The sequence below is a fragment of the Homo sapiens genome, chromosome 2, assembly GCF_000001405.40.
Source record: "Homo sapiens chromosome 2, GRCh38.p14 Primary Assembly".
NCBI lineage: Eukaryota > Metazoa > Chordata > Mammalia > Primates > Hominidae > Homo > Homo sapiens.
This window is the reverse complement of record NC_000002.12, coordinates 190476507-190492235: the sequence shown is the minus strand read 5'-3', so window position 1 is coordinate 190492235 and position 15729 is coordinate 190476507. Positions and strand designations below refer to the sequence as shown.

Here is a 15729-nt window from a genome sequence, read left to right as displayed (position 1 = left end):
TCAAATGTGTTTTCCATACTTTCAGATGTATCTTCTTCCTCAGGAACTCCAATTATTCTTAGGTTTGTTTATTTAACATAATCCTAAACTTCTTGGAGGCTTTGTTCATTTTTTAAAATTCTTTTTTCTTTGTCTTCGTTGGATTAATTCAAAAACCTTGTCTTTGAGCTCTGAAGTTCTTTCTTCTGCTTCTTCGATTCTGTTGCTGAGACTTTCCAGAACATTTTGCATTTCTGTAAGTGTGTCCTTTATTTCCTGAAGTTGTAACTGTTTCTTATTTATGCTATCTATCTCATTGAAGATTTCTCCCCTCACTTCTTGTATCATTTTTTTGATTTCCTTAAATTGGACTTCACCTTTCTCTAGTGCCTCCTTGATTAACTTAATAATGGACCTTCTGAATTCTTTTTCAGGGAAGTCAGAGATTTCTTCTTGGTTTGGATCTATTGCTGGTGCTAGTGTGATTTTGTTGGGGCAGGTTAAAGAACCTTGTTTTGTCATATTACTAGAATTGTTGTTCTGGTTCCTTCTCATTTGGGTAGGCTATGGCAGAGGGAAGGGCTGGCACTCAAGGCTGCTGTTCAATTCTTTTGTCCCACAGGGTGTTCCCTTGATGTAGTACTCTCCCTGTTTTCTGAGGGATGTGGCTTCCTGACAGCCAGGCTGTAGTGATTGTCATTTCTCTTCTGGATCTAGCCCACCCAGCAGGGCTACCAGGCTCCAGGCTGGTACTGGGGTTGTCTGCATAGAGTCCTGTGATGTGAACCATCTTTAGGTCTCTCAGCTGGATACCAGCCCAATATTTGGCCTGTCTCTCAGGTCCTCCAGGAGCAATATGCTTCCTTCAGAGGGTCTGTGTATTCTCTCAGCTTTCCTGGTATATTCCTGCAGTAGTTCTGGAGCAAAAGCATGATGCAAGTCTCCACATGCTACTCGGTCCACCTGAGTGTGAGCTGCAACCTAATCCTGCCTCCTATCTTGCCATTTTCCCAATAACAGTCTCTCCAGAACACAAGTATTTTAAAAACTAACCCAGTACCATATTCTCACTAATCAAAGATGAGTTAAAATTTGATTGCTTATTTTTATGTTTCTTACATTGAATGTTTAATTAATGATTTTAAATTTTTTTGTGATTAATAGCAAAGATATTCAAGTCCATACATTTTTCTCAAAATACAACTTTAACTACATCTTATAACTTTGGGAGAGCCATGATAGTTATTTTTATTGGTCTTTTACATGAGGCATGGACTGAGGCTGTGTAAGAGAGAGAATCCATTTAGGATTATAAAAGAACAAAAGTAAGAAAAAACAGTATTGCTCTTTCTGAGTAACTCATTGAGATTAAAATCTGTCTCTGAGGCTTCTGTAACAAGCAAGTTTTTCTCTTCACAGAAGCATTTCAGGGGCCTGAGGCTAATGCTCCGCAAAGGATAGGACACCCAAAGAAGATGAGCTCTGTTCTGGGACCAAAAAACTGAGCAAAAATATTTTCATCCTCCTGGTTGACCTTTTTCATAAAAAGTTGAGTCAGCTCATTCTCATCTACATATTAATATTTGATATAACCTCCTTTTGGTAGAACAATCTTAATAAAGGCATCCCTGGTTCAGAGAAAACTTCAGATTTCAGGTCTTGACATTTTTGTCTTTGTTTTTTGTTTTTTTTTTGAGAGGGAGTCTTGCTCGTTCCCCCAGGCTGGACTGCAGTGGTGCTATCTCGGCTCACTGCAAGCTCCACCTCCTGGGTTCACGCCATTCTCCTGCCTCAGCCTCCTGAGTAGCTGGGATTACAGGCGCCCACCACCGTGCCCGGCTAATTTTTTATATTTTTAGTAGAGATGGGGTTTCACCGTGTTAGCCAAGATGGTCTTGATCTCCTAACCTCGTGATCCACCCGCCTCGGCCTCCCAAAGTGTTGGGATTACAGGCGTGAGCCACTGCACCCGGCCATTGTTTTTTTTTTTTTTAACAAATGAAGGTAAGTCATAGAGAAGATTACCACTCACTCCCTATCCCTAGTAGCAAAATGACTGTATAGCCTTATATGTATTTGACTTAAATTTGAAAAACCTTTAGAATACCAGAGAAATTGAAAACTAATACTTCCCTAGTACCTTGTATTATAAAAGAAAACAAACAAACAAAAAACAAGAAAACCCCAAGCTACTTAAAACAATATTTTTTCTGCATAGTAGGTGGATCTCTTTAACAATAGTCCACATGAATTCATCGATACGCCACTCAGAAAATTGAGCCAAACAGACCTGTTGTATACTCTGTACCACTTCTAGGCTTCTCGGGGCATTTGTTGACTTCCCATGGCCTGAACTGTTAGGAATATTAAGAAAGAATGGAAATAATTACCTTCTTCCTCATCTGGCACTGCCAGCCACTGGATCAGGGCAAAGAGCAGTAGGATCACCAAGCAGGCCATGCCAATTCCTCGGAAGGTTGCAGCAGCCCCTATAAAAACAAACAGCACTCTATAGAGTAATTCCAAGAAATGCAGATAGCGCTCATCTAAAACCATCAGTTTTCTAAAGATCAAAGCAAAGGAAGCACAGCTTGAGACAAACCAGAGAAAAGTAGTTGGGTATTAGCTCCACATAATGGAAAAACACAGGGCTGGGTACGTGTCAAGAGACCCAGGGCTGATATTGGATCTGTCATTGATCGATTATAAAACTGCATTTATATAGGATTATCTCTCAGTGCCTTTCACCATGACTCATACAATTCAATGGTGCTCTCCTCTTCATATGAAAAGACCATTTACCCAATTATTAACTAACAGCACTATTAATCTGTAGTTGGAACAGCAGTGCTCAAATAGTGCTATAAATGCACGCATTTCCTGGGGCCCACCTTATATATTAATAGATGACTGAGTAGTTAAGATTCCTGGAGCAGAATAATCTCATTCCTATTTCAGCTCCTATGTTTCTAATAAGGAAGATATGACAAGACAGACAGATATTGTTACCATAAATGTAGTAGCATTACCAAAGCCAGCATATGGTTAGATTCTTCTGGTTCAAAATCTCCTAATGGAATAACAATGATGAATTTTATTTCCTTTAGGGTTATTATCAGCAGGTTTAAGGTACCTTATTTTAGACCAAAAGCACTCATGCTAATTCATTTGTTTGGCTCCTTTGAGGGATCTCTGTAGCATCTCATTAAGCTGATTGTCAGAGGAGTGTGCACAGTTACAGGCTGGCTCAGATCAGCTTAACAACGTAAGCACACTGCTTTACAATTATGACTACCATGAAATCTAGAAAGAGATTATGAATACTGGAATTTAGCTTTGGGCAATCTTCAGTAATAATTGGATTGTTTATTGAGGTATTGCTGGAAAAAATCATGTTTTAATAATAGAAAAGAAAAAAAAGGAGAAAGCCATTCTTACCAAAATAATTGACTAACACGCCTCCGATCATGGCACCACATCCTCTTCCCAAACCCAGGTGAAGGCCCTGCAGGATGCCCTGAGCAGATGTCCTCAGCTCAGGGGGAACGGCTGCACTGAGGTAAGAAATGCATGCTGCCCAGATGGCCGCGTGTGTCACTCCTGGAGAGGAAGAAGAGCAGGAGGGATTAGTTGGTTAGCATTTCTTAGGCTACTCTGTTTTGAAATGTGAATTATTTAACTAGGCACCTATTTTTAAGATTTGTTGTGGGAAAACATACATTAAAAATTTACCATTTTCACATTTTTAAATGTACGGTTCAGTGGCACTGAGTACACTCACAGTGTTGTGCAGCTGTCACCACCATCCATCTCCAGAACTTTTTCACCACCACAACAAAAATTCTGTACCCCTTAAACCATAACTTACACTCACCCCTTGTCCCATCCCCTGACAACCACCATTCTACTTCCTGTCTCTTGAATGTGACTCCCATTCATTTTGTTCATCTTTTCATCTGTGAATAGACATTTGTTGTTTCCTTCTGCTACTTTGATTAATGCTGCTATCAACCTGGTATGCAAGTATCTGAGTCTTTGATTTAAATTCTTTTGAGTGGCTGGGCGCAGTGGCTCACGCCTGTAATCCCAGCACTTTGGGAGGCCGAGGCGGGTGGATCACGAGGTCAGGAGATTGAGACCATCCTGGCCAACATGGTGAAACCCTGTCTCTACTAAAATACAAAAAATTAGCCTGGCGTGGTGGTGCACGCCTATAGTCCCAGCTACTCGGGAGGCTGAGGCAGTGGAATCGTTTGAACCCAGGAGGCAGAGGTTGCAGTGAGCCAAGATCACGCCACTGCACTCCCCAGCCTGGCAACAGAGCAAGATTCTGTCTCAAAAAAGAAAAAAAAATTATTTTGACTAGGTAACTAGAAATGCAATTGTTGGATGATATGGTCACTATATGTTTAACACTTTGAGGAACTACCTTTTTTCCAAAGTAGCTGTACCATTTTACATTCCCACCTGAACTGTATGAGAGATCCAATTTCTCCACCTCCTTGCCAGAACTTATATATATCTTTTTAAAATAGCAATCATAATGAATGTGAAGCAGTTTCTCATGTTGTTGATTTGCTTTCCCCTAATAGCTAGTGATGTCGAGCACCTTTTAGGTGTTTATTGGCCATCTATATCTTCTTTGAAGAAATGTTTATTCAATTCCTTTGCCCATTTTTTAATTGGGTTGGTTTTTGTTATTGAGTTGTAGGAGCTCTTTATATATTCTGGACATTCATCCATTCTAGGGCACCTACTTTGACATTAAGATTATTTCTACTTTTCCCCATTATAATTAGCATCATGGTTAACATTGCTTTTTACATACCTTAGATTATTTACATTGGCTATAATTCCACAAGTGGGGTTAATGATTCAAAGGATATAACAATTTTTATGTTTTGTTTTGTTTTGTTTGAGATGGAGTATTGCTCTGTCACCAGGCTGGAGTGCAGTGGCACGACCTCAGCTCACTGCAACCTCTGCTTCCTGGGTTCAAGCGATCCTCCTGCTTCAGCCTCCCAAGTAGCTGGGACTACAAGTGCCCGCCACCACCCCCAGCTAATTTTTGTATTTTTAGTAGAGACAGGGTTTCACCACGTTGGCCAGGATGGTCTTGATCTCTTGACCTCGTGATCCACCTGCCTCAGCCTCTCAAAGTGCTGGGATTAGTGAGCCACTGCACCCAGCCATGCTTCTTAATATATAGTTCAGTTAAAAAAATGAGTGCAGAAACAATTTACCATGTCCCATTACCAGTTTTATATCTTCACCATTTATGGGAATGAGAGGAAGACAGAGATAACAGGTGGAAAAATGGTCATTATCTTATTATGTAGTAACTGCATTGTCTGAATTAAAACCTTCATTAAGACACTGCTTTAAATGTAAAAACCAGATATTGTCACAACAGGTTTTATAGCTAGACGAGATTAAGAAATCATCTGGTTCCATCCCCTGAGAAATAGTCTCATTTGGAGATAATATCATCAGAGACTCTTAACTCGTATTTTGGAAAATTAAACTAAAAGATCAAAATTCTTTTAAAATTTGATCTGACAGTAGTCTGCCTCTGCCAGAATGGAATAACAGGGACTAAATTTATTCTCCTTCCTCAAGTAACTAAAAAACCGGACAAAACATATGAGACAGTGGTTCCTGAGGGACATCAGCAACAAGGACAGTGATCCCTGAGAGATGGGAAGCAAATGAAAAGCTTTAGTTTACTGACTGATGAGAGTCTGAAATCTGCAGGGCAAAAAAAGAGAACTGCCAAGTTGAAGACTCTAGCCAAGAGTCTAGGGAGCCAAGGTGGCTAGAGTTCCAGGGCAGAATGCCAGAGAGGAGATAGCATCATAGGGAGAAAACTCCAGAGATCTATAGAGGGCTCCCCTAACGTATTCAGCAGAGTACTGATCAGCAAAACATGTGCAGACACTATTCAGAGTGAGGGAATGAACTACCCAAAACCATTTCAGAGAACAATACCCAGAACCCACACAAGGCGGGGAACACTTCTTCCCACCAGCCAAACTGGAACAACTCATGATTCCTAGGATTGGTAGAGTACTCAACAAGGTCTTTTGTTAGTATTATGAAATAATTAGCCGTAGGCTAAACACTGCTCTGGTCTCATCTACATAATCTTAAAAGCAAGACCCAAAGGATCACACTATTTCCAAGTAACTTAGCTGTGACCCAGAACAAAGCTCAAGAATATTTATAGGAAGACAGAAATAGCCAGCACCCAACCAGGTACCATTCACAATATCTGGCATAATAAAAAAATTATCAGGGATGATATTACTTAAGTCAGTCCATAATGGAATAAACACTGTTTTTACTGGGTACATTAGATTGTATGCCTCACAGTTGACTAAGAAACATTAAAATAACTTTCTTAGGTTTTATATATGTTTCAGTCATCATTTTAACTAGGTTTTTTTTTTTTTTAACTAGTAAGATGGACTAGATGATTAGCAGTAGCATACACAGTTAATTTCCTAAGAAGTCAAATAACGTGTTTGCTTTATCTGGCAAAACAATTGCAATACCCTAGATAATGCCAGCTTTCTCAGAATTGAATAATGCCTGGATAGTCTTAATTATGAGTGTTGACACCATAGTACCTAATGGGAATAATTGTAAGTATTTTCATTTCTATTATTAAAGATGATGCTAAGTCCATTTCTTTTCACATATGCAGATTTTTTTTCATTAACCACACTGGGGGAAAAACTCAAAAATATTCCAAGAAATAAATTAATTTATTCAAAATTAATTAGATTCAATAGCAAAATCCAACACAGATTTGGAAATCATTTCTTAAAGATGAATTACCGAAAACCTGAAAACACATCAAATGGTAGTAGGTTAACTTTAATGCTGACGCCAAACCTCTTGTTATGTGTATGTCTAAGCAATCAATTGCAGGATTTACAAGCAACCAAAACATTAAAATATATTTATTATAATTCTAGATAAAAAACAATTCTAGCAGTTATTCTTTTAAGTGTGAAGGCTTGGACACACACAAACTCTTCCAACCACAGGGTTTGTATCTATTTTCCCCCTCTCAGAAATTCTAATCATTTTCTAAAACTTTGAGTGTTCTAAGATAATTAAAGCATTTTCCAGTGGGATGACTTAAGTCAGGATGCTTTTAAACTATTCTTAGAATTTACTGACTAGTATTAAGTGGTAGTTGTAAAAGATTCTCCACAGTTAGACTTCTAGTTTCTATATTGCTTTTGAGACTGATTAGATAATTGGGAATTACATTCTTTAAATTAACTCAGGGAATTAAGTGAAGGAAAAAATAGTAAAGCACAAAAACAAAATTTCTGATACTAAAAGCAGAAGAATGAAAGCCACTCTGCTTGTATGCTCTGATGTTTTCCAGGGCAGATACAGGATTAAAATTGATTTCCCTAAAATAACTTATTTTAAGATATCGTATAAGTGAAGAAGCAATTAAATTCATCTCATTTCTTAGATAGGAAACCAGCAAAATGTAGCAATCCGTAAGAAGGGATTAAATTAGAACATCATCTGTGTATACAAAAGACAGTGGTGGAGCTGCAGTTCTCGTTCATAAACTGGAACATGCAACTTTCTAGTAATCTTAATAATCTGAAGCTCTTGCCAATGTTTTTACTACATTTGTGTTCTGATTCTCTCGTTTTAAAATAACAAAAAAAGCAACCTAGAAACTTGAAAACCCTCCGCCATTTCCCATATTTGTAAGACAAGATTTAGGAAGTCTTAGGAATTGTGCTACCGAAAACGACATTCCTGTAAAGTAGAGGGGACAAAAGATATTATAAACTAGAAAAAGAAAATGCTTCTACTTTCTTAGTTATTAGAGAACTGTGAAAAAGCAGTAGATGATTATTCTTTATGTGATGAAATAAGCACATTTACTCAGTGGCATGGGTAAATGTGTTTACACTAGAATTACAAATTTTTAAACCTTTTTAAGTATGAGATAACAAAGTTGGTAGATCAAACAGTCAAAATACAAGCTATTACTCCCTGACTGACAACAGTAACAAGGGCACAGGAACTGACTCTCCTTGCAATGTGTTAACTCTTCCATGGCTGCTTGTCATAAAACCACTGAGCCTTCAGTGACAATTCAATACCAACTCACATAACAGGTGCTTAAATATATTGATTGAGAATGAATGACTCTCAGAGACCAAGTAGTCCACATAAACTTAGTTTCTCAGTCCTTCCTTACCTTTACTGGGATCCCCCAGGATTGGCTTTGAGGCACAGTAAAAATCAAGAGATATATCCACACTACCTACTGCCAAGACTTTACTTGGGATCCATTACATTTGAATAACCTAGAATCATTAAAAATAATTATGAGTAACATTAATTGTTTTCGTTAACTTTTTTTTTTTTTTTTTTTTTGAAAATGAGTTTCACTCTTGTTGCCCAGGCTGGAGTGCAATGGCGTGATCTCGGCTCACCGCATCCTCTGCCTCCTGGGTTCAAGCAATTCTCCTGCCTCAGCCTTCCGAGTAGCTGGGACTACAGGTGTGTGCCACCACGCCCAGCTAATTTTCGTACCCTTAGTAGAGACAGGGTTTCACCATGTTGGCCAGGATGGTCTTGATCTCTTGACCTCGTGATCTGCCTGCCTCGGCCTCTCAAAGTGCTGGGATTACGGGCGTGAGCCACTGCGCCCAACCCTGTTTTCATTAATATTATCACATCAGCTTACTCTACAAGGAATTGTGCTAAGTGTTTTACACAGATTATTGAATCTATTCCTCCAATAGGTACAGTACTATTTTTTCTTCATTTTCCAAAAAGGAAACCAAGGCACAGAGATATTAGATGCCTTGTCCAGAGTCACACAGAGAAGAGAGTTGTTGAATAGGATTTGAACCCAAGGTGTCCAAGTTCAGAGCTTAGGTGCTTAAATATTACACTATATGTTCTCATAACAATTGTTAGAAGTATTCTATAGTAAATGTAACTATCTACTTTGAGAGATTTTGTTGTTAATATCAAACATACCCCACAAGCTACCAGTTTAAAAGATGATAGTCGGCCGGGCGCGGTGGCTCACGCCTGTAATCCCAGCACTTTGGGAGGCCGAGGCGGGTGGATCACGAGGTCAGGAGATCGAGACCATCCTGGCTAACAAGGTGAAACCCCGTCTCTACTAAAAATACAAAAAAATTAGCCGGGCGCGGTGGCAGGCGCCTGTAGTCCCAGCTACTCGGGAGGCTGAGGCAGGAGAATGGCGTGAACCCGGGAAGCAGAGCTTGCAGTGAGCCGAGATTGCGCCACTGCAGTCCGCAGTCCGGCCTGGGCGACAGAGTGAGACTCCGTCTAAAAAAAAAAAAAAAAAAAAAAAAAAAAAAAAAAAGATGATAGTCTTAATAACTCTTCTCCACCCTTTCTGAAGAGCTGACATGTCATCTATATTGTTTTTTAAATGCCCCAAATACCTTATAACACTCAACACTGGTATCTGATTGTACAACATGCATTTCAAAATTGTTCAGTCTTGGCCCACAAGAATGCTCTACTGAAATAAATGGCATGTATGAGCAGGAAAAAAAGTCCTTTCTTCTTAAGGAGACAGCTGCTCTTTGTAAACTGTTGCTTGGCTTGGGGAAATCACATTATAATGGCTGGGAGGAGTGAGAACTGACACAGTACTAGGGAACTAGGATTGTTTTGTTTTTCTTCCTTCTGCCACTGACTTAAGCTTACTGAACAAAACATAACTATCCCTTTAGCATTGGCACACAGAATCAGCTGTGACAAACCTTTCCCATGAATAGACCAAAGCATACATTTCAATTAGTTCTGGGATTAAAAAAAAAAAAAAAGGAAAGCTTCCGAAAGGTCAACTTGGTGAAAATCAGTAAGAGACTATTCTTCCTAAGGAAAGGCCTCCATTGGGCAGGCAATAAAAGAAAAAGTCTATATTGGAAATCTTAGTGGTTTCACACATTAAATGTTTTCTTTTCTTGCTCACACAAAGTCCAATGAACAGGAGACAGGAGTAGTAGCAGCTCTGCTCCATAGTCATTCAGGGATCCAGGTTACAGAGAATCTGCCATCTGCAATGCCTGGTTACCCTAGGTATCAATATCCAGCTGACAGAGAAGGGAGTGACACACCTCTGCACCTGACCCATACAATTTCCCACGTGCTATCCTTTCCTCCTATCATTTCTGCTTTTATTCCGCTGGCCAGAATTAACCACATGGTCATACCTAACTGCAAGGGAGGCTGGGAAATAGAATCTAGCTGCATGTCCACGAAGAAAAGGAAACAGAGATGGTGAGTAGCAAGCCAGTCTCTCTGTCAGAGTTGGGGCTACTAACAGCAATACACCTTCCACAAATGGCGGAGGATCCTACAAAGAGCAATGGACTTAGCAGCAGCAGCAGCATGGATCTTCTGTGTGCTGCACGAAAGAAAGTTTATATAAGACATGCAACAATTTGTGTTAAAAGCCAACATTCCCACACCTATTGATGTATAGGACTGCAAGAATCCCCTTCATGCATTCAACAGTATTTACTCAGCATCTATATTATGTGCCAGATAGCCTGCTAGGCTTTGAAAATATGACAATATGCAAAATAATGTCCCCAGCCACCAAGGAGCTTACAGTCTGGCAGGTGAAAGGGGGCAGGATTTATCTAAAGGGGACGCAGACTGAGCTCCTTGAGAACAGACATATCCAGCACCCAGCAGAGGGCTGACATGTAACAGCAGCTGAACAAAAGGACATTGAACTGAAACAGGGTAGGCAGTGGTCTACATGTTGGGATATGACGAAGAAAGCATTTATGGATAAAAGGTACCCTGGGTAAGGTTGGAGAAAACTTCCAAATCCCATATATAAGTAAAAGTGGACAGAGGAAATAAAATAGTAGATCTCTTCTATAAGCTCTAGCTTGCAAACTTAAAAAAATATATGAGTTGCTTAAAAAAAGTCTATAACTGATGTAACAATGTTCTAGGGGGCCCTCGTGAATTTTTACATGCTGGCATTATGCCTTTGGCATACCTTTAAGCAGGTTTTAGGAGACTACCACCCAAAACCCAGGGAGTTTAATGTTAAGACTTGGCAACATTATACTACACGCCCAGTGTTTTCCCACCTGAAGCCACACATGAGAACTGCTTTTCTATCAGCCAATAAAGATTTCACTTATCTTCCTCAAAGATAACTTTATTAATAGTGTGCACTGACTAGCCACATTTCCCTTACGCTTTGGTCATTAGGCTTCAGCTTAATTCATAGCCAGGCTTTAATGCATAATTGAAGTTTAACTCCTTAGAATAGGATCTTTTAAATTATATTTTCTCTGATCCTGATTTATATTTATTTATAATTTATTTTACTTTTTTGTATTGTATGTTTTCTAACATTTATTAGAAGCTAACTGTGGGTCAGGTACTGTGCTAAATACTTTGCATGGATTAGTGTATTTAATACTCATGTCAACCTCTCCTATAACTCAAGAGTCTGTGGCTTAGAGAGATTAAGCATTTTGTCCAAAGACACAGAGCTTATAGGTAGGGGAGTTAGAATTCAAACCCAGATAGTCTAATTCAAGCCTTAGCACTTTATGGTTTCCGGATTATTGCATATTTTGGTAATCTGCCTCAGCTAACTTATAGAGTGAGGTGAGGGTATAAGTACTAATTAAAATACATGGGTGATTTTACAGATGTGTTATGGATGGCAAGATGTCATCCTAGGAAGAGCTTTCATAATGAAGGTTCAGCTTTAAATTTAATTTTCAAATTTTCTTCAGATACTTAATAAGTTTTTGAGATAGAATTTCTTATATCATTCAAAAGATATAAAAATTATAAACTACTAACTATAGTACATGATACAGGGGGCTGAAAAATGAATTAAACAACAAGCATTAATAGTGTATCTTCCTATATGTACATCTCTTTGGAGAACTGAAAAAGTATAAGCATGGCCTTTATGTTCAAGGGTTTAAACTAAGTTAGACAATAAAACTAGTATTTCTTCCCCATGCTCTTGCAGAGCATAAGAGGAGGAAAATGTGCTTTGTTTGTTTGTTGTTGTTTTGAGACAGGGTCTCACTGTGTCACCCAGGCTGGAATGCAGTGCTGCAATCACAGGTCACTGCAGCTTCAACCTTTTGGGGTCAAGCAATCCTTCCACCTGAGCCTCCCCAGTAGCTGGGACCACAGGCGCATGCCACCATGCCTAGCTGATTTTTAAATATTTTGTAGAGACAGGGTCTCCCTAGGTTGCCCAGGCTGAAAACATGTTTCTTACTTGGCTGAATAAGCATGCTAAATAAGACAAACAGAATAACGCTTTATAAATGTCAGCTCAAGTCCCCCTAACTGATGACATTAAAAAAAACATCTTTCATCAAAATCTTAACCCGGCTCCCACTGATAGAGCATCCTACAGAGAGAGAGCTGACCCAGACCTCGTTTTCACTCCTCAGTGCTGGAGTCATTAATTCAAGTAACTCAAAAGTACCTCTTTAGTTATAGCAGCCCCTAGGTGAGTTTTACTCTCATCAGATACATTTTAATAGCAAGGATAATTCTGATTCTTGCTCAGAACTAACACTAACACTCATCTCTGAGTTTTGCAAGGATTTGCAACCAACACCCACAGAGGAAGGAGAATAACAAGTTTGGGCTTTATTTTAATCAAATATTTATATTCTTGATCAAAATCATGAATGTTTAATTGTTCTTTGTACAAAACAAAAGGAGAAAATTCCTATGGGTTTTTAAAATGAGGTCTTGAGAAATAAATATAAACTATTCACCACCACCACCATCCAGCAATGCTTTTAGGCACGTAGACTCCCTGTCTCTTTTTTAAATACACTGCAGATTTCTTATAGGTAGGAAATATGTTTTCTGCTTCTTTATATGGTATTACCAGTTGCCTACTGAATAACATGTTTGCTGCAAATGGTAGCTGAATTGCTAAAAAGATATAGCTGCAAGAGAATACTTACTGAACATGAGAAAGATCATGGGAAAGAAATAACCTCACAATTCCAAACAGCATCCAGTAGTCTTACCTTGATCCCCCAATAAAGGCTTGAATAGCCTCCTTCCTATAGGCCTGGGGAAGAGGAAATTTGTTTCTTCACAAACCCATCTGCTAATTATTATGAACATGGCCTGAGAGGACAATCAAGAAACTGCAAGACTGAAGATAACAAGGAATCCTCCACCAGCAGTTACATGCAACCCCAAAGAGGAAGGGCTGGGTAGCGGGGGCTATAGAATGAGGCACATCTTTTGTCTCCTCCCTTTCAGCTACCCTCTAGATAGTACTAGACAGTACTAGTTCTCGTGGTGTTTTGGGGATAAAGCAAGGGTGGTAGGATAAAGAGACAGACTTTGCTTATTTTTTTTTTAAGGAAGACCCTCTTGTATGGTTCTGGCTAGGAACCAAAAAACGGAAGTGCTGATTTTTCAGAGTCAAGATGCCCAATGATGAAAGACAACATCCCATTCCCCAGCCTTCCCCTTCCCCAGACTAGGTCTTTGGCAATCAACAAGTAACATTTCCAGTCAAGGAATTAAGGGCTATATATTGTGAGAGTGGGCTTGTCCTCCAATGAAATCATTCAGTGATTTGTTTTAATCATGTCCTGCCTTACTGCATCCTAAATAGAGTCTCCTTTAAGCACACGGACTTTAAAGCCATTTGGACGAGCCTTGTAAAGGCAGACGAATCCAAACTAGCAAAACAAACCTCTTCAGTCAGAAATGTATTTCTGTGATGCAGGATTTTATTCCACATGAATAATCTACTGTTTTCCATGGGGTGGGCATGGGTCAAACAAAGGCAAGGGATTTTGATTTTGTTGTGCAGTCAAAATACTCAGCACTCACTTCTGCCAGGGAATGAAACCATCTCCTCCAGCATTAGAAACAAAGAGCTCTGTGGAAACTGGCCACAGAGCCCTCTGTTGCACTAGGAGGCTGTATTTACAGATCCTCTTCCCTGGCTTCAGACCAGTAGCTAGGTTTCTACTGGCATAAGGGAGAATAAAATGAAACACAGAAGTATGTATCGTAGCCTGCCCTAGGAAGCAGAATTCCTGTTTAGATTCAGAACATGGCCAGCTCCCTAAATCCTGGGATAATATCCCTGAGGTGCATACAAGTATTATAAAAACATGTCCTGGGTTGGCAGCTTGAGATGATAAATGCTTCAAGCCCTAGCCCCGGCACACCACTTATGCTCCCTGAAGAGGCCATTCTGTTCTCTTCTGTGCCTTCGCACACAGCTCTTCCCCCATGCTGGAATGCCTACTCTCTTTAGACCACCTGGTAGATTCCTATTCGCCCTTCAGAATCTAGCTTATGTGATTTTTGTAGGGAATTTTTCAATACAGTCTTCATCCTCCCACTCCCTGCTTCACAAAGTTAATTATTCTCCTTAGGGTAAGCTCCTTATCTGCTACCTAGCACATTTTTCTATGATTCCATCTAACATGCTGTATAGTTATTATGTGTTTACACATCTGGCTTCCAGAACAGTTGGTGAGACCTTGTGGCCTGAGTTAATATATGTATATATTTTATTACATTCTCAGCACCCAGCATGCTGCCTGGCTCTTAGTCACCATTTAATATATCTTTAATAAATTAACAGGAAAATGCATTTTTAAATTCACACAGCATTTGTTTTTTCCTCTTATAAAATTATTCTGTTGTTCTTTAACCGTTTCATGGATGTTCTCTTTTCTTGGGTCACTTATGGAAACCGTCCTTTTCCACCTAACTCATTTTAAACTAAAAGGATAAAAAAGTTATATGCATGTATTATTATAATATATAGTCATTTCTTTTCTGTAGGTATACAAATCTTTATTTATAGAGTCTGCACACTGTAGCATACCAATAAATAAAGCAATTAAGCCAGGTCAGGATAGAACAGGAACCAGAGGTGGGAAATCCTAAGAACTGTGTTGCATATTACCTTGTTATTGAATCATTCTTACCTGCAGTTCCTGTTTAATGCATTGTTATTATTATTATTATACTTTAAGTTTTAGGGTACATGTGCACAACGTGCAGGTTTGTTACATATGTATACATGTGCCATATTGGTGTGCTGCACCCATTAACTCGTCATTTAACATTAGGTATATCTCCTAATGCTATCCCTCCCCCCTCCCCCCACCCCACAAGAGTCCCCAGTGTGTGATGTTCCCCTTCCTGTGTCCATGTGTTCACATTGTTCAATTCCCACCTATGAGTGAGAACATGCGGTGTTTGGTTTTTTGTCCTTACAATAGTTTGCTGAGAATGATGGTTTCCAGCTTCATCCATGTCCCTACAAAGGACATGAACTCATCATTTTTTATGGCTGCATAGTACTCCATGGTGTATATGTGCCACATTTTCTTAATCCAGTCTATCACTGTTGGACATATGGGTTGGTTCCAAGTCTTTGCTATTGTGAATAGTGCTGCAATAAACATATGTGTGCATGTGTCTTTATAGCAGCATGATTTATAATCCTTTGGGTATATACCCAGTAATGAGATTGCTGGATCAAATGGTATTTCTAGTTCTAGATCCCTGAGGAATCGCCACACTGACTTCCACAATGGTTGAATTAGTTTACAGTCCCACCAACAGTGTAAAAGTGTTCCTATTTCTCCACATCCTCTCCAGCACCTGTTGTTCCCTGACTTTTTAATGATTGCCATTCTAATTGGTATGAGATGG

General features: G+C 39.3%; 2 protein-coding genes across 19 annotated transcripts in view; one reads left to right on the top strand and one right to left on the bottom strand.

The window, feature by feature from the left end:
* The window catches only part of MFSD6 (major facilitator superfamily domain containing 6), a 94739-nt gene that overhangs the window by 10079 nt on the left and 68931 nt on the right, over window positions 1-15729 (bottom strand). For all 12 annotated transcript variants that reach the window (NM_001375989.1, XM_047444824.1, XM_047444825.1 and 9 more), the window contains 2 exons: window positions 3418-3579; window positions 2370-2468 (listed from right to left, as the gene is read on the bottom strand). In NM_001375989.1, the coding sequence (NP_001362918.1) occupies window positions 2370-2468; window positions 3418-3579 (261 nt within the window). The remainder of the gene's footprint in view (window positions 1-2369; window positions 2469-3417; window positions 3580-15729) is intronic.
* NEMP2 (nuclear envelope integral membrane protein 2) overlaps window positions 1-15729 on the top strand; it is a 227365-nt gene that overhangs the window by 156550 nt on the left and 55086 nt on the right. The window contains exon 9 of one of the 7 annotated variants that reach the window (XM_017003098.2): window positions 1399-1622. The exons of the other annotated variants lie outside the window; for them this stretch is intronic. Within the exon in view, the coding sequence (XP_016858587.1) occupies window positions 1399-1417 (19 nt within the window). The 3' untranslated portion in view covers window positions 1418-1622. Of the gene's footprint in view, window positions 1-1398; window positions 1623-15729 lie in introns of those variants that run through there. 7 annotated transcript variants of the gene reach the window in all.